General features: G+C 39.3%; 2 protein-coding genes and 1 long non-coding RNA gene across 19 annotated transcripts in view, besides 2 other annotated features; all 3 read left to right on the top strand.

Annotated features, from left to right (window-relative positions):
• The window catches only part of SPICE1 (spindle and centriole associated protein 1), a 72,439-nt gene extending 53,921 nt beyond the window's left edge, over positions 1-18,518 (top strand). For all 5 annotated transcript variants that reach the window (NR_170870.1, NM_001331078.2, NM_144718.4 and 2 more), the window contains exons 12-18: positions 472-619; positions 3,879-4,100; positions 7,286-7,770; positions 10,720-10,900; positions 13,096-13,198; positions 14,560-14,647; positions 15,876-18,518. Coding sequence is in view for 4 of the 5 variants with exons in the window: in NM_001331078.2 (NP_001318007.1) it covers positions 472-619; positions 3,879-4,100; positions 7,286-7,770; positions 10,720-10,900; positions 13,096-13,198; positions 14,560-14,647; positions 15,876-15,929 (1,281 nt within the window). In the remaining variant the exon portion in view is untranslated. The remainder of the gene's footprint in view (positions 1-471; positions 620-3,878; positions 4,101-7,285; positions 7,771-10,719; positions 10,901-13,095; positions 13,199-14,559; positions 14,648-15,875) is intronic.
• SPICE1-CFAP44 (SPICE1-CFAP44 readthrough (NMD candidate)) overlaps positions 1-25,256 on the top strand; it is a 228,227-nt gene that overhangs the window by 53,921 nt on the left and 149,050 nt on the right. For 7 of the 12 annotated variants that reach the window (NR_183045.1, NR_183048.1, NR_183047.1 and 4 more), the window contains 8 exons: positions 472-619; positions 3,879-4,100; positions 7,286-7,770; positions 10,720-10,900; positions 13,096-13,198; positions 14,560-14,647; positions 15,876-16,495; positions 19,582-19,783. This is a non-coding gene — a long non-coding RNA (SPICE1-CFAP44 readthrough (NMD candidate)). Of the gene's footprint in view, positions 1-471; positions 620-3,878; positions 4,101-7,285; positions 7,771-10,719; positions 10,901-13,095; positions 13,199-14,559; positions 14,648-15,875; positions 16,496-19,383; positions 19,483-19,537; positions 19,784-25,256 lie in introns of all 12 variants that reach the window. The other 5 variants (NR_183050.1, NR_183049.1, NR_183056.1 and 2 more) reach the window with 3 other exon arrangements.
• Positions 1,727-2,436: an enhancer, noted in NCBI's record as "NANOG-H3K27ac-H3K4me1 hESC enhancer chr3:113177647-113178356 (GRCh37/hg19 assembly coordinates)". NCBI's record gives its function as "activates a minimal SCP1, AML or CMV promoter by ChIP-STARR-seq in primed H9 embryonic stem cells {active_cell/tissue: H9 hESC(primed)}" and the evidence as "EXISTENCE:reporter gene assay evidence [ECO:0000049][PMID:30033119]".
• Positions 2,437-3,146: an enhancer, noted in NCBI's record as "H3K27ac-H3K4me1 hESC enhancer chr3:113176937-113177646 (GRCh37/hg19 assembly coordinates)". NCBI's record gives its function as "activates a minimal SCP1, AML or CMV promoter by ChIP-STARR-seq in naive H9 embryonic stem cells {active_cell/tissue: H9 hESC(naive)}" and the evidence as "EXISTENCE:reporter gene assay evidence [ECO:0000049][PMID:30033119]".
• CFAP44 (cilia and flagella associated protein 44) overlaps positions 19,722-25,256 on the top strand; it is a 154,585-nt gene continuing 149,050 nt past the window's right edge. The window contains exon 1 of one of the 2 annotated variants that reach the window (NM_018338.3): positions 19,722-19,783. The gene's annotated coding sequence lies outside the window, so the exon portion shown is untranslated. The remainder of the gene's footprint in view (positions 19,784-25,256) is intronic. The other variant, NM_001164496.2, reaches the window with a different exon arrangement.

Here is a 25,256-nt window from a genome sequence, read left to right as displayed (position 1 = left end):
TGTAATTAATATTTATATTAATTACATACAGAATTTTGTGCTGTTCATGTTTACCAGTTTAAATGCCTGGGTAATATTCATTGTTTCCTCCACCTCATGTATCTGTGTCTCTTGGGGGTAGTTTAAGAGTTAGTTGAAACATCTATATGAAGAGGTTTTGTAAATGGAAAGCCCTGTAGAAAGGTTAATTCTTATTGTTATAGCAGGGTATTTATTAATTACTGTTTCATGATTTACTTAACCATTTCCCTATCATGGAACTATTAGAATATTTATAATTATAAATAGCATTGCTTTAATTTGAAGTCTCAAATTCCTGAAGTATTTAAAATGATGATATTATACATACATATCCTTTGATATGTATTGATATGATATTAAACACACGTATCCTTTGTGTGGTTTGCTTTCTAGGTGGTGGTTTGATGTTTGATATGCTAATAATATTATTTCATATGTTTTCCTCCCCAGGCAAGACTTCAGCAGTACATGGTCACAACAGATGAGCAACTGATATCACTCACACATGCTATTAAGAACTGTCCTGTGATAAATAACAGACAAGAAATTCAGGCATCAGAAAGCGGAGCCACAGGTAGAAGAGTTATGGACAGTCCAGGTGAGTGTGGTCTTACTCTCTCAGACTGTCATTAGACTACTTAATGGCCTTAGATAACAAACCAAACCTTAAATCTCTAAACTTATATAGACTTATTGACTGTTTATGCATGTACAGTATTGTCACTACTACAGTTGCCACTACTTTTCCAGCTAATATTGGATGCATGCTCTATGCCAGATACTTGTTAAGTCTTACATGCATAATTTCAATTCGTGTCATAATAGTCTGATGAGGTAGGTGTTATTGTTATCCCCATTGGTGTTATCCTTAGAGGAAACAGGCTGAGAGAGGGTTGGTAACTTAGCAAAGTCATACAGGTAGAAAGTAGCAGAACTGGACACCTAGACCAAAGAGAGTGCTAGCACTTTTAATCCCAGTGCTCTAGATTTAGAAGAGATGGTTTTGGAAAGAGAAAAATACTGAGTTTTAGAAATTCATAACTTTTGTTCATGTGTGATAGTGTTGTTATTTTGAAATTCTTCCTTCATCTCATGTGCCATCATATGCTATAGGCTGAATTGGACATTTTGGTTTTTTCATGTGTTTTACTTTTAAGTAAGACTTTGATGAGTATCTGTAAGAAAAGTGTTTTATGTATTTAAAACCGTTTTCTTAGGATGGATTCTAAGAAGTGGCTGACCAAAATTTAACTTGCATGAGGTAAACTCATTGGCTAGGGCACATCTCTGTCTTCTGGTGGAGTCTTGCTATTTTTTTTTTTTTTTTCTTTTTGAGATGGAGTTTCGCTCTGTCACCCAGGCTGGAGTGTAGTGGCGCCCTCTCGGCTTACTGCAACCTCCGCCTTCCAGTTTCAAGCGATTCTCCTGCCTCAGCCTACTGAGTAGCTGGGATTATAGGCGCCTGCCACCACACCTGGCTGATTTTTGTGTTTTTAGTAGAGACGGGGTTTCACCATGTTGGCCAGCCTGGTCTCGAACTCCTGACTTCATGATCCGCCTGCCTTGGCCTCCCAAAGTGTTGGGATTACAGGCGTGAGCCACCGCACCTGGCAAGTCTTGCTATTAATATCTCAGTCAAGGAATATGTTAGTGTTTTACTATTATCTGAATTAAGCTTCACTACTGAGAAAGCTTTTAATTATCCTATAGGTAAGAAGGGCTGGGAGTAAATATATTGTAGAATTATTGTTTTTTTTTGTTTTGTTTTGTTTTGTTTTGTTTTTAATTTTTTTTAGTATTTATTGATCATTCTTGGGTGTTTCTCGGAGAGGGGGATTTGGCAGGGTCGTAGGACAATAGTGGAGGGAAGGTCAGCAGATAAACATGTGAACAAAGGTCTCTGGTTTTCCTAGGCAGAGGGCCTTGCCTCCTTCCGCAGTGTTTGTGTCCCTGGGTACTTGAGATTAGGGAGTGGTGATGACTCTTAACGAGTATGCTGCTTTCAAGCATCTGTTTAACAAAGCACATCTTGCACTGCCCTTAATCCGTTTAACCCTTAGTGGACACAGCACGTATTTCAGAGAGCAGGGGGTTGGGGGTAAGGTTATAGATTAACAGCATCCCAAGGCAGAAGAATTTTTCTTAGTACAGAACAAAATGGAGTCTCCTATGTCTACTTCTTTCTACACAGACACAGTAACAATCTGATCTCTCTTTCTTTTCCCCACATTTCCCCCTTTTCTATTCGACAAAACCGCCATCGTCATCATGGCCCGTTCTCAATGAGCTGTTGGGTACACCTCCCAGACGGGGTGGCGGCCGGGCAGAGGGGCTCCTCACTTCCCAGACGGGGCGGCCGGGCAGAGGCGCTCTTCACCTCTCAGACGGGGCAGCGGGGCAGAGACGCTCCCCACATCCCAGACGATGGGCGGCCAGGCAGAGATGCTCCTCACTTCCTAGACGGGATGATGGCCGGGAAGAGGTGCTCCTCACTTCCCAGACTGGGCGGCCGGGCAGAGGGGCTCCTTACATCCCAGACGACGGGCGGCCAGGCAGAGACGCTCCTCACTTCCTAGACGGGGTGGCGGCCGGGCAGAGGCTGCAATCTCGGCACTTTGGGAGGCCAAGGCAGGTGGCTGGGAGGTGGAGGTTGTAGCGAGCCGAAATCACGCCACTGCACTCCAGCCTGGGCAACATTGAGCACTGAGTGAGCGAGACTCCGTCTGCAATCCCGGCACCTCGGGAGGCCAAGGCTGGCAGATCACTCGCGGTCAGGAGCTGGAGACCAGCCCGGCCAACACGGCGAAACCCCGTCTCCACCAAAAAATACGAAAACCAGTCAGGTGTGGTGGCGCGTGCCTGCAATCCCAGGCACTTGGCAGGCTGAGGCAGGAGAATCAGGCAGGGAGGTTGCAGTGAGTCGAGATGGCGGCAGTACAGTCCAGCCTCGGCTGGGCATCAGAGGGAGACGTGCAAAGAGGAGAGGGAGACGGGAGAGGGAGACGGGAGAGGGAGACGGGAGAGGGAGACGGGAGAGGGAGACGGGAGAGGGAGCCAGAATTATTGTTAATTCTTGTTATTGCCTGTGGAAAAAGTCAGAAAGATTTATGTTGGTGAGACCAAAGATTTATGTAATATCTTCCTGAGTCTCAGCTCTTGTAACTCTTTTAAAATACTATGGAATGTGACTATGTTGTGATAATGCATGACCTGTGAAGTTCCTTGTTTTGTAATGAGCCTTATATATGGAGGTCAGTGCATTAATATGACCCATTTTAGCCATTTTGTTACTTGTGATGACCATTAAAAAGCTATCCATAACAAATAATGAAAAATTCTACCAGCCTAGGCAGCATGGTGAACCCCGTCTTTACAACGAATACAAAAAATTAGCTGGGTGTGATGGTGCATGCCTATAGTCCCAGCTACTCGGGAGGCTGAGGTGGGAAGATCACTGGAGCCTGGGAGGTCGAGGCTTCAGTGAGCCAAGATCGCTCCACTGCACTTCAGCCTGGGTGACAGAGTGAGACTCTGTGTGAAAAAAAGGAAAAATGGAAAAGACAAACTCTGGAATGCCACATAGGATTTTTTAGGAGTCCCTAACTGGCTCGCTTTTCATGGCTTTGAGGCCTTAGTGATTTTCTCAAAAATAGTAACTTCTCAGTACTAGCCCCCCAGGAGCCTGCCCATGAATGATTGGCAGAGGAGGATACAGCCTAGAAAGTGAAGGCTCCAGGAGCTATGTTGATTCATGTGGATTTTGCACTCTACTGAGATGCATTTAAGAATAAATACCTGAAATGTGCTCATAGTTTCTTTTTGTTCCTATTGTACTAATATCCTCTCATCTTCTTCAGAGCGTCCAGTTGTAAATGCCAATGTCTCAGTGCCATTGATGTTCAGAGAGGAAGTGGCTGAATTCCCACAGGAAGAGTTGCCCGTTAAACTGTCTCAGGTGCCAGACCCTCCAGATAACATGAATCTGGCCAAGAATTTTCCAGCACATATTTTTGAGCCAGCTGTGTTGTTAACACCACCCAGGCAGAAGAGCAACTTAAAATTCTCTCCTCTTCAGGACGGTAAGTCTTCTTCTAAAGTTACATGAAAGTTGTTTTTTAATGTTTCATTTGTGCAATGTATTACTTTCACCATTACATGAAAAACAGAATTGAAAAAGACACTGATTACCACACATAGCCTTTAAGCTGAAGGAAGAATTTTCATGCTATGTGTATCATACCTGTGGTCATGTGTGACATTTAATTAATTTTATTGTATATCTATTTTATTAAACATTGTAAGTATTAAACTCAGATCAAAAGATCAGAGTCCTTAGCATTAAGATGCAGAGTAAGGGGAATCCCTTTTGTCCCTATGGTCCAGGAGCATTTCAAAGAGTTAGAAGCAGGAGATTATACTCCAAAGAGTAATGAAAGTTAGACTAAGGAAAGGTGAAAACTGTGACTTTAAGGGTCTTGTAAGTGACATCTGGTCATTATATTCACCTCTTTCTCATCAAAAGTTTTCAGCTCAGTTAGTTGAGGCAATTTTATAATAAAAGTTAATGGACAATTAAAAATAGCTTTAGAGTTACTCTTGCAGCTCACAGGTAGAGTTTTGAATAAACATGTTAAGAATATATTATTCTTAGCTCAAAGATTCTTAACTTAGGGTTCATGAATGGTCTTCAGAAGTTCCATGGACTACCTCATTGTTGGGAAGATTAAATTTATTTGTCCCCATGTACATTTTTTCTGGAGCTATTGTTTTTATTTCATTTTTAAAGAGGTCTTTAGTCAAAAAAAGAACCACCATCTTAAACTCTCTTCCAAAGTTTTTTGAAAAATATTATTCAGGTCTGATTAGCCTGAATTTTTATTTCTTTGACAAGTTTTTTTTTTTTATTTTTACACAGGGGAACAGAAAAATAACTGTTTATTATTATTGGGACATACAAATTTTGTGCAATTTTCTGCACTTTGATGTATGTTTCCAATAAAGGACACGAAGAAGCCCAGGGGTTAAAGAAAATGGCAAATCCTTGCTATTAAAAATTCTGTTTTGGTATTTATAATGCAGATGTAGCATTTGTCAGATCAGTATGGTGCAATGGTGACAGTGCCAGGCTGAGAGTCAGACGTGCTGGTATCTTGGCCCGTTTATTGTTGACTAGCTGTGAGGCATGAGGCTCAGATAGTTTACCTTTTCTAGACCTAAGTTTTTCCATCTATGAAATGAGAAGATATTTCTTTATCTTTAATGTTCCCTCCAGCTCTATCATTGTATGATTCAGTATTTCCTCTTCAGAGGGCTTCAGTTACAATAAATATGTTTACTCTGATCACAACCGTACTAAATGCTTGTTAAAGCAAATTTGTCAGGGATTGCTATAGACAACATTTTGTTAATATCTTCAGCAAGTTTGTATTTAAAATAACTGCCCATTTATTTTATAATGTGCAGACAGCTGCTTGTGAATATGTATTTGAATTGGTGATGTTTTATTATATTTTTCAAGCATTGTTTGGAATACTCACATATAAAGAATTATTCAGTTAAACAGAATATGCAGATGAAAATGGGTGATACATAGGGCCCTTCATCAGCATTCAGTTCTCTTTTAGGATAGCTTTGTCTAATAGAATTTTCTGGGTTGATGAAAATGTTCTGTGTCTGCTCCATCCAGAATGGTGGCCACTGGCTGCATGGGGCTAGTGAGCACCTGATATGTGGCTTATGTGACTGAGAAACTGAATTTTAAATTTTATTTAATTTTAATTAACTTAAATTTGAATAGCCACATATAGCTAGAGGCTGCCATATTGGACACTATTGCTGTAGAATTTCCCATCATAAATATTTTCCTCTAGCTATTGATTTATTTCTGCTTTTCTTTACAGCCATGCTTCTTGAACGAGTAGTGGGTGTGTGTGTCTGTGTGTATTGGTGTGCAGTTTCATTTCATTTTCTGATCTCCCATTCATCCTTTATTTTAAAGCGTTCATTCGAATTCATATTTGTATATGGTTTTTTAAAAAGTACTGTCAATTTAACCCAGAGAAAGGCTCTCTAAAAGAAACTGATATTTATTTGAGATTGAGAATTGCAATGGGAATATGGTGGGCATATTCAGGGAAGTAAAGGAAGACAAGAGTTTTTAAAGGGGAAATGAGGAGGATTATTTAAGTTGTTTTGAGATAACTATCCTTGGCTACAAGGATCAATAACAAGGGTGGCATCAGTCTAAGGTTGGATAGGCAGATGTTGGGCAAATGTCCTCGCAGAATTATTTTTTGTGTAAGATTGTGGTGTCCTTTGTGCAAGGTTCTGGTTTTTGAAGTCTCTTGAACAGTTCTTGTTATCAGTCATACATGCCTGAGAACCCTTCCTTCCTGGCTTTTTAAGGCTCCACTTATCAGTCACTTGTGTCTGATAAAGTGACTCTGATAAAGTCACTTGCGCTCTGACACAAATGTCTGATTTTTTTTTTTTTCCTTTGAGATGGAGTTTCGCTCTTGTCACCCAGGCTGGAGTGCAATGGTGCAATCTCAGCTCACTGCAACCTCTGCCTCCTGGGTTCAAGCTATTCTCCTGCCTCAGCCTCCTGAGTAGCTGGGATTACAGCCGTGCACCATCATGGCTGGCTAGTTTTTAAAATATGTATTATTAGTATAGACTGAGTTTCACTATGTTGGCCAGGCTGATCTCGAACTCCTGACCTGAGGTGATCTGCCGACCTTGGCCTTGCAAAGTGCGGGTATTATAGGAGTGAGCCACCGCGCCCGGCCAAATGACTCCATTTTGATTCTGACAGCTTTCACAGTACATACCCCTAAAGGCAGTCATTTTCTGCCTGTAATGTCCTTTGCTCAGTTCCTATTACATATGTAATCATTTAAAAATTTTACTTCCTCAGAGAGGCCTTTCCTGGTTATCTGCTGTTTAAATTGGGTACTTATACCCACTTCCTCATTCCCCAAGATTCCCAGATGTGAGTTAATATATGCGTTAAAATGTGAACTTGACAGATGGTTTTTCACAAGGGTACTAACAAATGCTTTAAGGAATGTAAAAAGTCTCTGTACTTGATTACGAGGGGCGGCATTGCTGGTGTGTTCTCTGCTGAAAATAGTTTAAGCATTCAGAAGCCAAACCCTTCTACTGAAATACTTTTCTAACTACCATGGTGGGCTAATGAAATGAGTATAGTGCCAATCTATGGGAAAATAATACATATTTGTTATTTTTAAATTCTTATCTATAGTATTGAGAAGGACTGTTCAAACTCGTCCTGCTCCACGACTTCCTCCAACTGTGGAAATAATTGAGAAGGAACAAAATTGGGAAGAGAAGACCTTACCTATTGATACAGACATTCAGAATTCAAGTGAAGAGAATCGTCTCTTCACTCAGAGATGGAGAGTCTCTCACATGGGAGAAGATTTGGAGAACAAAACTCAGGCTCCTTTTGTTAACCTCTCACAGCCCCTCTGCAATTCCCATTCCAACACTCAACAGTCAAGAAGCCCCACATTCTCAGAAGAGCTCCCAGTACTGGGAGATGGGCAGCAGCTGAGAACAAATGAGTCATTAATACAAAGAAAGGACATAATGACACGAATTGCTGATTTGACATTGCAGAATTCAGCTATCAAGGCACATATGAATAATATTATTGAGCCCAGAGGAGAGCAAGGGGATGGACTCCGGGAGTTGAACAAACAAGAAAGTGCAAGTGACATGACTTCTGTGAGTACCATTTAAGGATTGATTAGGGACATATAGGAATTTAAATAGGAACTTTAGCTTGGGCAACTTAAGAAACTTCTTTTCAGAAGTGATCCTAGAAAGCTTTGAGGCTAGATGGCTTATGTTTGGCATGTCCTCAATACAATAGGTCCAAGTTATTTATCAGTCTGTTGTACATACAATACAAGACAGCATAAAAGGGAAATTATATAAATGAAAATAGGACAAAGATAAAATGCGTAGGAAAGCTAAGATTAAGTTAGGAATGAAGTTTTAGGTATAAAATATAGAATTAATGTTACTTGAATGTTTGCCACACAGCCACATGTTAATTGAAAATATTTTTATTTTTAAAATGGCTCATAAAAGAGTATTGGCCCTCAACTCATGAGTAGTTAATTTTTGAGGACATAGAATGGATTTTCCTATAGAAATGAGGTGGTTTTTTTGTTTTGTTTTGTGTGTTGTTTGTTTGTTTTGTTTTTTTTGAGACGGAGTCTTGCTCTGTTGCCCAAGCTGGAGTGCAGTGGCATGATCTCGGCTCACTGCAACCTCTGCCTCCCGGGTTCAAGTGATTCTCCTGCCTCAGCCTCCTAAGTAGCTGGGATTACAGGCATGCACCACCACACCTGGCTAATTTTTGTATTTTTAGTAGAGACGGGGTTTCACCATGTTGGTCAGGCTAGTCTTGAATTCCTGACCTCGTGATCTGCCCGCCTCAGCCTCCCAAAGTGCTGGAATTACAGGCATGAGCCACTGCGCCCAGCCTGTTTTGTTTTTTTGAGATGGAGTCTCACTCTGTTGCTCAGGCTGGAGCGCAGTGACGCAATCTTGGCTCCCTGCAACCGCCACCTCCTGGGTTCAAGCGATTCTGCTGCCTCAGCCTCCCAAGTAGCTGGGATTACAGGTGCGTACTACCACACCTGGTGAATTTTTGTATTTTTTGTAGAGGCGGGGTTTCGCCATGTTGGCCAGGCTGGTCTCGAACTCCTGACCACAAGTGATCTGTTTGCCTCGGCCTCCCAAAGTGCTGGAATTACAGGCATGAGCCACTGCATCTGGCCAGAAATAATGTTTTAAAGGATTATTAAAGCCAGACTTTAATATACATATTAATCATCTGGGGATCTTGCTGAAATGTGGTTTCTGATTGAGTAGGTCTAGGGTAGGACCTGTGCATTTCTAATAAGTTCCCAAGTGATGCCAGTGCTGCTAGTCTGAGGACCACGCTTTGAGTAGCAAAGGTCTGCATTTTATAGTGCAGGAGTTTTGTAAGTTAAATAAACTTTGTGGGCTAACCTGGTAACTTAAACCTTCATTTCGTTGTTTCTGGGGGAGATAGGGAGTCTAAATTCCAGCTAGGGAGGGTTTATAAAAGAGCTCCAAATGCTGGTTCCAGTGATGGTAGACACTTTCTTTTACCCCTTCTAGAGCCAAGGCCGCTCCTGTCAAGTTTCTGATAGGAGGAGCTGGGCACTGTCACTGGGGATTAGAAGCTCGTGAGGTGGCTGTGTTCATAAGGGCTTTAACAACAGTGGGTTGGAGGGCTTTGGTGAGGAAGGTTAGGGTGAGGTGAGTCATAGGGTAAGGGCCATCTCTGTCAGCACTGGGTCATGGGGAATAAGGACAATATGGGTATTGAATCATAGAAGTAGACAGAAGGAACTGGCAGAAGAGGAGCCAGAAAGGAATATTGCTAGTAGGGAGCAGCCAGCCATTGGTAGTGGTGTATATAAGTAAATATCAACTGCCTCAATTTTGAGTCACTGGGAGGCATTTATATATTTGTAGTTTTGAAGATTATTCATAACAGGCAACTCTTGGTTTAAAAAAGACAGCAGAGTCTAATGTTTTGCTTGCCTCCTTTTCTAATTAGTATGTAGATCAAGCTGGAAGGGACTATCTAATATTTCTGTCTTCACTACCCTCTTTTGTTTTAATTGGAAATACAAAATGATCTTTAATTCATACTGATTTTCCTATTTATTTATTTATTTATTACTAATAGACATAAGCTAAAAATCAGTGATTTTTATTAGGGATTATTTTTTTCCAAAGAGAAATGAAATAACTAGGACTGAAATAATGACATAATTAGGAATAATGAAATAATTAGGAATGACATAAGCACATTTGGGGGGGGAATTTTCAAATTAAATTTATGCTATATTTTTTGGGCGGCTATTTTTTACCCTACCTCTCATATTTCTTTCCAATCACCAACTATTCTTGAATCAGATACCTTAGGCCAAAAGTGGCTTGGGGAGGCTGACATATGGTTAGAAGGAGTGACAAGATTCCCAGAATCTTTGCCAAATGGTGCATATTTGAAGCCTGTAATTATAGAAACTTCTGTTTCCAAGATAGCAGATCCTCTTTTGTAATCTGTCAAACTGCAGATCTGTCTTCAAAGATGTGTGGCATTTACTTAGAGACCAGCTCACTTGGAGCAGTCTCTTTGCTCATGTGATCTTTTGTGCAGCTCTGCAGATACTAAGAGATACAGAAAAGCTTTTCCCAGAATATATGCTTAAAGGGACTGTAAATTCTATTGTGTGCTCACTATTCACATTTATATATAATAAGGGCTATGAATACTAACTTGCTGGCCATTAGTAAGTCAAAATTGTGTGAGATCGAGGTGGGTGGATCACGAGGTCAGGAGATGGAGACCATCCTGGCTAACACGGTGAAACCCCGTCTCTGCTAAAAATACAAAAAATTAGCTGGGCGTGGTGGCAGGTGCCTGTAGTCCCAGCTACTCGGGAGACTGAGGCAGGAGAATGGCGTGAACCCGGGAGGCAGATGTTGCAGTGAGCCGAGATAGCGCCACTGCACTCCAGCCTGGGCAACAGAGTGAGACTCTGCCTAAAAAAAAAAAAAAAATCGTGGGAGAGATTTTTCAGTATTCAGTATTCAATTTGTACTTTTTTTTTTTTTCTCCCAAAGACTTTTCCAGTAGCACAGTCTCTAACACCAGGTAGTATGGAGGAACGGATTGCAGAATTGAATCGACAAAGTATGGAGGCTCGTGGAAAACTACTGCAGTTGATAGAGCAGCAGAAACTTGTTGGTTTGAATCTTTCTCCACCAATGTCACCTGTTCAGTTACCTCTCAGAGCATGGACTGGTTGGTCACAAATTCATGATTTAAAAACTAGAAATATGAAGGTTTTCAGTTTTCTTGATTTTGCAAGTTTATATTAAGCCAAAAGAAGTATCAGAGCATATATTTTGGTGCCTTCAATTTTGCACAGAAAGAAATAGCCCTAACTCACAGGATAAGTGACAGAAATGGGATTAGAAGGCAGATCTCCTGATTATTTCTATCCTATGATGCCTATAGTTAATCTTTGGTGTCTGAGTTCCTAAATTATCGTACATCTAAATGGGATTCATTATAGTGTACGGTTCACTTAGGTCATATGCTGCAACTAAGCATGAAATATCTGAATGTTCATTTAGAATTTCATCAGCAATGAATTACAAGTTATTATTCTGTAAAACACTTAAAACATTTTCACTCAATTAAATTTTTTGTTACATTTAGGAATGTGAAAAGCTAGAGGGGATTCTGAATAATAAAATAGTAACTGAAAAAATTGTCATAGTATTCACATTCAAAAAGATACTGATGAAACGAAGTATGTATCAAGTTGCTTTTTATCAGAAATTGCATTATTAAGGCCCTCAAGGGACAGCTACATGAAGAGTACTGAGAGATTGATTTTGGCCCAGTAAAAGAGAAGGCTCTAATTGTCAGGAATAGAAAAAGCTCCATGTACCAGTAATTGATGTGTTCTCTGAGATGTTCAAACATTGGTGTTTGAAGGGGACTCATATGTCTTATTTCTGGTTGAAGTAGGTTACCTTTAAGATACCTTCCAATAAGACTTTTCCCCTCAGAAATTATTTCCTTTTTGAAATACAGACCCAGAAAGCAGACTCTTTTGGAAATTGCTGGAAAAAGATGGTAATGCATTTCCCCAGGGCTCTCTGTTTATTCTAGGCTTCCTCAAATGACAGTTTTGTCTACTGTTCTTCATAGTTATGAAGCCTAGAGACAACTTCTGATTAGAATAAATAAATCAATTAACTATATATGAACATGTACTATGTGCGAACATGTACTATGTGCGAACATGTACTATGTGCGAACATGTACTATGTGCCTGCCATGTGTGGGCTTGAATACTCTAGCATTTGAGTAGGGGAGCAGGCAACAAACAAATCAATATTTGGGATAATATCAGTTAGTGCTAAGTGCAAGGAAGAAAAATAAAGCAGATCAGCCTTAAGAATAATTTTGTGTTTAAATATACATCTTCCATTTCAGTATTTGTGTATGGTTAAAATATGCTTTTATTTATGTTATGTAATTTAGTCCTCAACATACTTTAAGAGGAGACAGGGCTAATATTATACCTATTTGATGAATAAGTAAACTGAGGTACAAAGAGGTTATGTGATTTATCAAGTTACAAAGCAAGTTGTGGATTTGCAACTGCGTTCTTTCCTGTCCAGTGATTTATCTCTAAAGTATTCTTTTTATAAGTAAAATTCTTATATTTGTTTAAAAAAAAGCTGCTGTGGACTATAATGATAAAAATAAAAATAAACCATATATCATGAAAAACCTCTTTTGTTTTCTAGGGTAACTGAGGAATATTTTGTAAAATTAAATAGGGTTTTATTACCTTGTAAAGCCAGGAAGTCACACAAAGTCAGGAGCCTCTGTGAAACTGCCTGTGATGAACATTAAGTCTTTCATTAGTAAATACTTAGTAAATATGCTGATTGATTACCTACTTCTGAAATATGGAAAATATTCATAATTATACTTGCTATTGGCCATATGGAGCTCTTCAGCCAACTTTCCTCTCCTACTTTAATGTCTTCAGTAATAGTCATAATGTAATCGATTTAAAAGATTTAAAGTTTTACTGAATGACTTCAGAAATTTTCTTTTTCCTTTTTTTTTGGGAAAACTTTAGGTAAGCTCTTTTGGACAAAGATCTCAAGCTCTTTAGGGCTAGCTCTTAATTCCTGTTTTTCACCTCCAGAGCTGACATGATGCCACTTGTCTGAAGATTTTGGCTCTCTATGAACTGGCATGCTACTGAATTAACACTAGTAACTAAAGTTTCTTATCCCACAGTTCAGTAAAAAAAAAAAAAAGTCTTTCAAGTGTATCTTGGGCTAAGATTAAAACAGATGGAAAGAACCACCAAATTTTTAATGTGCAGTTTGCAGTAAGATAGAAATTGAGTGAAATTTTTATTTCATTGAAAGGTAATGGAACTAATATTTATTTTTATATTTTAGAAGGAGCAAAGAGGACAATTGAGGTATCTATTCCAGGAGCAGAAGCCCCAGAAAGCTCAAAATGTAGTACTGTCTCTCCCGTCAGCGGGATAAATACAAGAAGGTAAGTTGCAGTGTGAATATTTATTTAAAAAAAAAAATCAAAAAGAATTTGGTATGTATTTTATTCTCTTTGTGAAAAAAGGAAGTGTACAGTATCTGACTTAGGTTGAGACAGACTCATGCAAAGAGAGTAAAATAATTGGAAAAGAGAATTTTGAGGGGAAATGGAGTGAGGAATAAACTTTAAGTAGAAAGGCATGGGTTTGCTACTGAAAACAAAAGTGAGATAACACGTATGTAGAGTACTTACGGGTTACAAAATTAGGAGATGATGTATGACAGGACAGCTGAATTGACCAATAGTATTTTCCTCCTTCACAGTAAATGAAACTGAAGCTCTCCGAGTTAATTGGGTGATTTGTCTAGATGGGTCATATGATTGGTAAATAGTGACACTAAGGACATACCTGGCCTTTCTGTCTCTACTCTGCATCCTTACTATTGTACTGTGCTGTTCCAGGTCGTGTTACTCTTCTACTACCTGGACCTTTTTCCCCATCCCTGCACGTTCTTTTTCTCTTTATTATTGAAAATTTATCCATATAATATTGTAATGCCAGATACATGTCATTATACATTTGTGAAAACCCACAGAATGTGTAACACAGAGAGTGAACCCTGATGTAAGCTATGAACTTCAGTCAATTATATCAACATTAGATCATCTGTTGTAATAGATTTGTCACACTAATGCAAGATCTTAATAATAGGGGAAACTGTGTGTGTGTTGGAGGTGGGGGGTAAGGGGCATATGGGAACTCTGTACTTTCCACTCATCTTTCCATAAACCTAAAACAGCTCTAAAAATTAAATTATATTTGTATTAGTCCATTTTCATGTTGCTGATAAAAACATAACTGAGATTGGGAAGAAAAAGAGGTTGAATTGGACTTACAGTTTCACATGGCTGGAGAGGCTTTAAAATCATGGTGGGAGGCGAAGGAAACTTCTAACATGGTGGCAGCAAGAGAAAATGAGGAAGAAGCAAAAGCAGAAACCCCTGATAAACCCATCAGGTCTCATGAGACTTATTTACTATCACGAGAATAGCATGGGAAAGACCGGCCCCCATGATTCAGTTACCTCCCCATGAGTCCCTCCCACAACATGGGCGAATTCTGGGAGATACAATTCAAGTTGAGATTTTGGTGGGGACACAGCCAAACCATATCACTATTAATGAACAAATAAAGACTTACAGGTTGGTGAAAATAAGTTACAAATAATTTACCTCGTTGGACCTAAGTTAGCCATATGTTTTCAAGCTCTTGCCAGTATTGAGAATTGTCAGTTGTTTGCATAATCTTTTAAGGTTAATAATGATAGCTCACTCTCTTACTCTGTTTTATTTTTCATGAATAGATCTTCCGGGGCTACTGGTAATTCTTGTTCTCCACTAAATGCCACCTCAGGAAGTGGGAGATTCACACCTCTTAATCCAAGAGCAAAGGTACACGTTAAAATGTAATTGTGAAATGCATATAGGGGTGAGGGTAGAAGGTGGCTGATTTAGTGATTTCCATTCTTAATTATCATTCCTGTTATCCTAAAGCTGGTATGATATTCTTAAAAGAAAAGAAATACTAATTTACCTTTTTAGGAAAAACAAGCCATATACTTCTTCTGTTTTCTAGGGTAACTAAGGAATAAGGTAAAATTCAATAGGATATTCAACAGTCCTTAAAGACTGGAAATTACTGGTTTCAGGTAGAGCTTCCCATATATTTACGGCAGGACACACAGGTGTGCCTTGAATGGGTTGTAGATCTACTGAGCTATTGGTTCCCCCAGTCCTTGTGCTTGGGTGGGGTCTGGGACAGCCAGAGCACTGGGTCCAGTCACTTTTCCTCTCATTTTATCCCTGTGTGCCATATCTGACTGTGCCATTGGTTAGATAGGTTATGGTACCAGGGAAAAATAAATGTCTTAATGTGTTCTTCATGTATTTTGATGTGCCATAGGTATGTATAGAAGCTAAGCATTTCACAGTATATTCAAAATTTTTGCAGAAGGCATTTTTTCTGTGGTGCTAGTACAGTAAAATATAGTTCCTTTGAGTGGTTATGGTAAATTGTGAGGATATCTTTAAAATTGTAAAAGTTAATTTTGTAGACTTGAGCCAATAAGTGTCTGACATTGGGAAAATCTTTGCATTTCTTATTACTGAGTTCAGTAATTAGATCAAAGAGTGGGTGCTTATAGCCCAAATTAAATGATAGGGGAAAGATATTAAATGATAGGGGAATGATAGATACCCGAATTGTCCAGTTCTAGGAGATTTGTTCTTTGCTACTTCTTATATTCTACAAAAGCTTTAAAGTAAGCTAATTTATATAAATTATTCTTAGTTCCTGGAATTTAGTAGCATTTAATTTACTAAGACCAAATAACTGCCTTTTTATCATTTTAAAAATTTATGCCTATGATAGCTATAAAACACTGGACTTAAAAAAATTATGACTCCTAAATCAGTAAGAGGATCTGTTGACCAAGTAATCAGTTATTTGGTAGTATCTCTGTTAGAGAATTAACATTGCCAATAACAATTTAATTTCCAGTACCATTCAATGGCACAGGATGACTTTGTTTTATGCACTTGGTCTAAATGATCTGTAAATCTTGAGTAGTCTCATGTTTCTAATTACCATCTAAATTTTTTCCGTGTCTTTGTTCAACAGATTGAGAAACAGAATGAAGAAGGCTGGTTTGCTCTTTCTACCCATGTATCATAAGTGAAGTCAAGTCTCACTGAGTTTGTTCTTAATAATTTATTACTTCCCTTTCCCTGCTCTGACTTTTAAGTTTTTATATCCTTCTTTCAGATAAAACCTACAAAGATCCTGTGAATTAGTACTAATGAAACAGAGAAATAAAGCAATTATTTTTTGACTTTCTCAAATAAGTTTTCAACAACCAACTGACCTACAGCTCCCTGTGAATGAAACTTTGACTGTAGAGAAGTTAAAGTTTTGTATTTTAATACTTTCTTAAGTATTTTAAGGGTTTTTTTTATTAATACATTTTTACCTTTATCTTTATTCAGGGTTTTTTGAGGTTTAGTATATCTTAGTTGATCCATTTATTTATTTATTTTCCTGAAGAACTAATTTGCTTTGCATGTAACTTACAATAAAATTCCTCTGTGTGATTAGAGTCTGGCTTTCAGGAATATGTAACACCCACTTTTCTTTCTTTTTTCTTGGGAAGTCATTGCTGTTCATCACTTTTTCCATCAAGTGAAATATACAGCCTTAAAAACAATAGGCCTGGGAGTGTTTGTTTATATTTGCTTAAGCAGGTAAGAGTGGTTGCATTTATTATAAAATCTTATGTAGTTTTTAAATGTGAAAATGTCATCAATAATGGTAATGCAAATCAAATAAATATGATTCTAGAGCTCAAATGCCTAAATGTGGTAACATTGATTTAATGGTATATTTAATGCTTCAAACAATTAAATAGAAAAAGTTGCTATTAATTTTCCCAGCCCTGAATTTAAGCAGATCTTTCAGGGTAGATTTCTCTTTTTTTTTTTTTTTTGAGACAGAGTCTTGCTTTATTGCCCAGGCTGGAGTGCAGTTGTATAATCTGGTTCACTGCCACCTCAGTCTCCTGGGTTCAAGCAATCCTCTTACCTCAGCCTCCTGAGTAGCTAGGATTATAGGTTCATGCCACCACGCCCAGCTAATTTGTGTATTTTCAGTAGAGACGGGGTTTCACCATGTTGGCCAGGCTGATCTCGAACTCCTGACCTCAAATGATCCACCTGCCTTGGTTTCCCAAAGTGCCGGGATTACAGGTGTGAGCCACTGCACCCGGCTCAGGATAGATTTTTCAGGGTACCCTTTTGGTTCTGAGATGTTTATTTCTATTTTAAACTTGTTTTTTGAATGATCTCTGCTCCCTGGCTCTATGATAGGAATTCTCAACCTGAGTGAACAATTCAAACTGAGATTACTTGTGTTTAGACTCATATATTTTGATAACATATGACTTCTCCAGTATGCCCCAGAAAGCTGCTAATAACTTGCTCAACCTGAAATTTACAGTTTTCCAAATTACAGGTTGGCAGAGATACTGGATTGATAACAACATCCACAGTTATCATATAATCATTCTTATGCTGTAAACAAAATTATTTTGGTTAGCAGAATTTAATAATTAACTGTTAACTACATACTAGGCAATATTGTAGCCACTTTATGTGCTTCATGACACCTTATGGGATAGGTACTATTATCCTCATTTTGCAGATGAGGAAACTGAGGTACAAGGAGGTATTTTCTCAAGGTCACACAACTAGGGAGTGGTGGCATTAGAATGGGAACATAGGCAGTCTTTCTCCAAAGCCTATGCTGTGCTGCCTCTTGTTGGAGAGTAAACCTGTTTTACAGTGTGTGTAGTATGGAAGCAGCATAATAATAAGAATAGCTGTTCCTTATTGAGCCATTACTGTGGCAGACACCGTACTATAAGCTGTGGTATCACCATTATCTCATTTGAATCTCATAGTAGACCTATCAGTTAGAGGTATGTAAATGCTTCCTCCTCTCCCAGCACCTTTACAGATGAGGATGCTGAGCCCTAGAGGTGAAGAAAGTTGTCTAATGACAGAGTGCTTGTAAGAGGTAAAGCCAAGACTTGAAGCTCTTTCTTGCAGTTACTGGATTTCTCCTAATTTACGGGAACTAATACAGTACAGTAGCTAAGGATGCAAGTACTGAAACCAGAAATCTTGCCTCAAATGCCATTTCTGCCACTTGAGCTGTGTACTTTGGACAAATTAATCTAATCTTTCCCATTTGAAAGTCAGACATAATGTCTTCCCTAGAGGCTTGTGAGGATTAAGTGAGGCAAGTGTATGTAAATGGGCTGAGATCAGAGCTTGGCTCACAACACTCAGTAATGATCACTGCCAATTTTTTTTGGTATATAAATAAATAAATACACTATTTCCCCCATGTTTCCAATTTTTAAGACATTGTATAGTGAATTTATTGTATCTTTCTCAGATTAACAATTGCACACAGTGCTTGAAATTTAGAGGTATTTCACCTGAAAAGATGTCTAGAGATTGAAAGAAAACATGCTGGGCATATGATTTGAAAATATAAATAACATGCTATTTAAAAATAAGTTTACCCTATGTTTTCTATCTTTTCTGGCACCTAGATATACCATTTAATAAGTAATAGCAAGGATAATCATTTTTTTAAGCCCTGGAAAATCTTGATTAAAGAGGACATTTCAGTATTGCAAATAAATGCATGGTATTTGTGTAACATTGTGGAAACTAATAAACACAAATTGTATTATAGCAATTTTTTCTTGCCAATTTTATTGACAAATAATTTATATACAATAAATGACATCCATTTAAAGAGAACAGTTTATTGGCTTTTGGCAGTTGTATATACCCATGAAATTACCACCACAATGAAGACACAGCATTTCTATCATTTCTAAGATTCCTTGTGTCTCTTTCCAGTGCATCTCACTAAGTCCTAGGCAACCACTTTGCCCAAGTCTCTAGACTATCTTGGATGTGGAATGACTTTGTGTATGTTTAACTTTTGAAGAAACCTCTCAAATAGTTTTCCAAAGTGGTTATGCCATTTTACATTCCCAACAGCAGTGTATGCGAGTTCCAGTTGCTCCATATCCTTCTGCATTTGGTGTTAGCAATCTTTGAAGTTTTACCCCTTCACGTGGATGTGGAGTTATGTGTATTGTGGTTTCTATTTCCCTTATGACTACTTTTAAGCATCTATCCATGTGCTTATTGGCCATACATATATCTGATTTGGTGAAGTATTCAAATCCTTTGCCCATTTAAGAAATTGGGTGGTTTTTTCTTATTGAATTATAAGAGTTCTTTATACATTCTGTATACAAAGTCCTTTGTCACATATTGGAATGACCATTTTAAAACAAGTATTTGGTAACTAATAACGTTAGGCTAGGTACTTTAAAAAACAATATGACCACAGTACTACAGAGAGGTTGAACAAACTGCTAAACCTAGAAATCTGTCAAGGGAGGCCTATACTTTTGTGCCCAGAGCGCTGCGACCAAGAAACCCACAACATAAAACCTGATTTACTCTTAAAAGCCAACAGAGATAATATAGTTTTAAAAATAACAAAAATCCCACGATGTATCTTTGTTGTTGATGTTGCCGGCAAGCTGCCTACTATCTCCCAGGACCCCTCTTAAAATCGAAGTTAAAACCTCAACATAGGAACGCCGCGATCAGGGCTCCGTTGGGCCATTTTGGAATATCAGGCAGGTATCTTCGACGGTATTCATGTCATTTAATTATCTACATGACGTCCTTTAGGGGATAATAAACTCGTCGGGCTTTTCTGTTTGGCTTTGAACCAGTGTCATGAGGCGGAGAAGGCCCGACCAAAGGGCGGATAGGTACCGGGTTCCCGGAGAGCTGGACGCCGGCCGCGCATGCGCCCCACGGCCCGCCCTGGTTCCGCCTCCCTGGAAGAGGGGTGGCGTTGTCTCGGTAACCGGAGTAAACGGAGGCCTCCGGCAGACGCTGTGAAGAGAGGAGCCGCGGCGGTCAGTACCTTCGGTGAGTTTGGACCTCAGCAGCCGGCAGTTTCCACACCCTCCCCCTTAAATCTGTGGCTCAGAGGGCAGTGAACCCCACTTGGGCTTCTCTCAGGCTGGACCAGTGTTATAGCCTTCGTCCTCCCTGCGGTAGCTCAGCAAACTTTTGAAGCCACGAGTATTCTCAGGCTCGGAGCTAGACACTGTGTGCACGGTTCCTGCCTGCAAGACCCTGTCAGTCTGACCGGGCGGAAGCCAGCCAGGCAGCAGGAGCACAGCTTAGACCCGGCCAAGTCAGAGCAGCAGCGAGTCAGCTGGGAAGGTGCTGGGGCTCCCCGCTCCAGTGAGACACCTGCCCTGCGCTCAGCTGGGTGCGACGCTTGGCACGCTGGGCCCTCTGCACTTCGGCTTCCTCATCTCCAGAAAGAAAGGTGATAATGTGACCTCATGGAGTTATTATTAAACAGGATAATACAAGTAAAGTGCTTAGCACATGCATGACACATAGTAGGTGCACATAAATATTTGTCGGATAATAGGTAAAGACAGTCGCATACATGTGTGCTGCTCAGTGTGTCCAGTCTATCATGAGTTGCTAAGGGTGCGTACTGATGAAAATCTTTGAGAGGAGAAGGCTAAGGAGGCTAGGGAGAGAGAGAGGGTGACTGTAGCTGGGCTGCAATAAGCTACAGACCCTCTGACAAGGGACCTTTACACCAGACCGAGGAATCTGAGCTCTTATTTGATAGCAGTGATGAGCCATTAGAGGTTTTAAGCAAGAGTGACACATTAAAAGCTGTGTTTTAGAAATACAAGCGATAGTGTAGAAAATGGGTTACAGAAGGGAAGACAAAGTATGACGGTACAGTAATGGTAGAGGTGAGACACAGTGAGGACTGGAACTACAGAGGGACAGCAGGGACAGTAGGAATGAAGGGAGGGGAGGAATTCAAAAGGCTTAATCACTGGACACCAAGTAACAGGACTTGGAAATCATCTACATGAATTGGGTGAGAGGAACGGATTCAGAGTAAATACGCTGCTTTCTCATCTGTAAAATAATGACAGTAATAATAATGGATAGCAAGACTTTGTCTCAAAAATAATAATAATAGGCTGTGCGCGGTGGCTGACGCCTGTGATCCCAGCACTTTGGGAGGCGGAGGTGGGTAGATCACCTGAGGTCAGGAGTTCGAGACAAGTCTGGCCAACATGGGGAAACCCGTCTACTAAAAATACAAAAATTAGCCGGGCGAGGTGGTGTGCGCCTGTAATCGCAGCTACTCGGGAGGCTGAGGCACGAGAATCGCTTGAACCAGGGAGGTGGAGTTTGCGGTGAGCTGAGATCGCAGCACTGCACTCCAGCCTGGGTGACAGAGCCAGACTCCATCTCAATACATAAATACATAAATAAAATAATAATGGTACCTACCTCATAGGGTCGTTTTGAGAATTGTACGATAATATGTGTAGAATTTCTTAGAACTGTACTTGACACATAGTAAACATTAAAAAAGACAAGCTATTACTTTTTTTCTCCACAGCTGTATTTCACATTGCAAAGTAAAAACCGAGAGTCTGTTTTATACATCAGTCACTGTGAATCTTAAATAACCACCTCTGGCACACTGCTGGGATTGAGTGAGCTTGTGAGCATGAGGACCAGAACCTGGACTCTGGTGAATGAATCAGAGTAATGTCACCTTAGACAGCACTCTGTCTGGCGTCTAGCCAACCTTCTAGCAACACACTCCTCTGCATCAATGTGTACTATTATTTTCCCTTTTTCTTTATACTTCCTTAGAGTTGACCCTGTCAACCTAAATAACATACAGAGAGCGGCTTTCTAAAAGAAGATGATGTTTATTCGGGAGTAAGGCATTGCAATGGAATATGCGTGCCATGGTAAACTATATGTGTATTTAGGGAGGTAAAGGAAAACAAGGGTTTTAAAGGAATAATGAAAAAGACTACATAATTATTTTGAGATAATTATCCTTGGCTACAAAGATCAACAATAAGTGTGATGCTAGTCTGAGGTTGGACAGGCAATTGTTGGGCAGATGTCCTTGTAGAAGTATTTTTTTTTATGTGTAAGGTTGTGATGGCTTTTGTGCAAGGCTGTGGTCTTTGCAGTCTTTTGGGATAGTTATCCAGCATACAAGCGTGAGAACCCATTCTTCATAGCCTTCCCCAGCTCTATTTGTCAGGGTTCTTTCTTAACACTGGTGACTCCATTCTAATTCTGACAACTTTTACAACTCAAAACTGCACAGTCTATCTAATGAGTTAGTTGAAAGAATTGGCTGTAGGCTGGACGAATAAGCCTGGATCTAATGAAACGAAATTTATGCTAGTCCTGCAAATAGACTCCCAAACCTAGCTAGTTTACTAATAGAATGTAGAACATGGTCTAGAACCCAAACTTCGACTGCCTTAAAGGAATACAATGAATGTCCCCGATAGGTGAATTGGTAGTTCCGCTCTTCTGGAAAGTGTCCAGATCCTACGAAGAACATATAAAATTAGGAGGTATATATGATGCATTGGGAATTAACTTCTTGAGCTCTCAGGGTGGTAAAGAAAAGTTGGAAACATGTCATTGAGGAATAATTGAAATAATTGGGATACTTTCTCTGGGAAAAGAGAGGATCTGGAGAGAAATGAGAGCCAACTACAATTATTTGAATGGTTGAAGTACACAGAAAAACTTGTTCTGTGTGTTCTCGGAAGAAAAAATAAGGGTCAAATGGATCCAAGTTGCAGGGAGGCAGATTTCAGCTTAATATAAAATATACTAAGAAGTAGAGCTGAGCATGAACAGAATGTGCTCACCCTCTTACCCGAAATATTTAAGTTGAAGCTGACTGACAATCTTGTTCTTTCATCTATTCAGGAATATATCAATAAATTCATTCCTGCAACCATTTTACATATTGACTGCCATGTATCATTCTTAGAGCTTTCCTGTGTTGACTCAGAACAACCTTATCCAGTAGGTGCTGCATTTTAAAGATGGAAGTACTGAGGCACACAGCCATTAAATACTTGGTTAACACCTCACAACCAGGAAGAGGATGAGCCAAGATTTAAACCTAGTCAGACTGACTGTAGCCAGTATTCTCATCCCTGGCCAACACACTAGACTGCTTTTCTGACAGTGCTGGGGTGGATGTTGAGATGTGTGACCTGCATGGGGTAGGAAGTTAAACTAAAGTCCTCTTTCAGCTCTGAAGATTCCATGATTTTATTTATTGAACCCTACATGTGTCAAAGAGAATATCTAGGAGTATAGTAAAAACAACTGCCATTTCTGAGTGCCTAGTAGGTGTTTTATATAAACTCATGATTCCTAACCAGTTCTTATGCCTGATTGTGTGAAAGAATTATCTGGGGAGTGAGACCCTGTTAACAGTACGTTTTTAAGTTTTCCAAGTGATTGCAAAGTGCAGTCAAAGTTGAGAACTCTGTATATAAAAGATCTCATTTAATATTTACAACAACTCTACCAAATAACCCTATCACCCTCATTTTACATATTAAAGGATCAAGAGGTTAAGGAACTTGTTTCTTGGGCAAGCAGGGATGTGAACCCAAGTCTCTGTGGCTCCAAAGTCTCCACAGGTTACAATGTAGCTTTCCAATCCCTTTGTTATTAAAACAAAACAAACAAACAAACAAAACCCCAAAAAACCAAAAATACCTTATTCTACCTTACCAGTTATACTGATAATCTCCAGGAGAACAGGAGTCTCTCCCACCTGACCTGCTCCACTGCTTTTTACAGGTTCTTCAGTTACCTTTTATGACCCAGGAAAGGTAGGAATAGTATTTATTGTCCGGTATTGCTACATCAGAACACCGGGCAAATTCCTTGGTTTCCAGTATTTTCTTCCACATTGTACACAACCTGACATTAACTGGGTTTGTAATGTGAAAGTTTATTACATGGTAGTATTAGCCATTTGGGGAATATATTGTTTAAGATAGCACAGAATAAAGTGTGGTGCTTTCGTCTTGAGACCAACTTACCTTTTGTTGTGGTTCAACTCTTGTTTTCAGAGTGCTTTAGTTCCCATAATTGTTTTTTACCCACCTTATGATTATCTTGTGAATAAATTATGGGCTCTTTTTATTAGAATCTATATCCAGTTAACGTTCAGTTATAGTATGTTAAAATAAATTTATTCAGAAAAAAGACTGAAAAGTAGAAAGTGATCTCATGAAGTCATGAGGCTTATGATAGCAGGGAAGAAAATCATGAGATTCAAATCACTAGGTGAACTTGACCCATTATTCCTGGCTTTAAAGGGCACCATAAGTCAAGGAATGCGAGTGGCCTCTGGAACTTAGAAGGACTCTTGGGCAACAGCCAGCAAGAAAGCAGGGACCACTGTTCCATAGCCACATGGGGCTGAATTCTGCCAGCAGCTTGAATGAGCCCAGAAGTAGATTCTTCCTCAGAGCCTCTGAAAGTGAAGGCAGCACTGCCAACACCTTAGCAACCTCCTGAAACTCTAAGCAGAGAGCTAGCTGAGTCACACTTGACCTGGACTTTTGACTCACAAAACCATGAAATAATAAGTGGATGTTATTTAAGCTGCTAAATGTCTGGTAATTTATATGGCAGCAATGGAAAACTAAACAGTACCTACTTACAGAAGAAAGTGCTATTGAAACTCACAGATGAAAAATTTTCATTTAGTTATCAATTGATTAGCAGCAGTAGAATATCAGTTTGATTTTGTTGGAAAACCCAGGAACTGCCTTGCCTTCACTTATTTGGGACCTGCGTCTTGGAAACTTAGGGAGTACTTTCCAATACTTTAAATGTTGATTTTTATCAAAGAAATCATTATCGATCAATCATAGTCACTTCAGTCACGACTGTCAGACCATCCTTGTTTTGGTCAAACTCTGATGGATCTGAATCAGTGATTTAGAAGATAAGTTTATTCTGAAACTATTTTGAAAGAGAATTGTTGATTTCTTCATCTTGAATTATACATTGAGGTGAGGGACTGTATATTGCTCACCTTTGTATCCTCTGCAATGCCTAGCATAATAATATGCTCAATAGTTTTAAGAATTAAATTGACCTAAATTATGAAGGCAAGGGAGAAAATAATATTTAGGTGTGTGTGTATCTAAACAATTTTACCCACAGTATGTGGTCATTTATAACCAAACTCTGTAATAACTGAATTGGCTGCATAATTCTTTATTTAAAAAAAAAAACAGTTACTCACTGTAGAGTAACATAGAAAGCAAGTCTGTGTATCCCAAACTGGAAGGAATAGAAAATATTCTCAGCCCTGGCCAACACACTAGACTGCTTTTCTGACAGTGCTGGAGTGGATGTTGAGATGTGGATAACTAAAAGGATGACAGAATGTGAATTTTAAAAGATTTTGCTACTTACAGGTTTTTATTGTTTGATTCCTAACCCCACCCCCTCCATAAACCCCAAAAGGTATATATTCTACAATTAGGTG

The sequence above is a fragment of the Homo sapiens genome, chromosome 3 (genome assembly GCF_000001405.40).
Source record: "Homo sapiens chromosome 3, GRCh38.p14 Primary Assembly".
In the NCBI taxonomy this organism is placed as follows: domain Eukaryota; kingdom Metazoa; phylum Chordata; class Mammalia; order Primates; family Hominidae; genus Homo; species Homo sapiens.
Note: the sequence above shows the minus strand (reverse complement) of the source record. Positions and strands in the feature narration are given on the sequence as shown.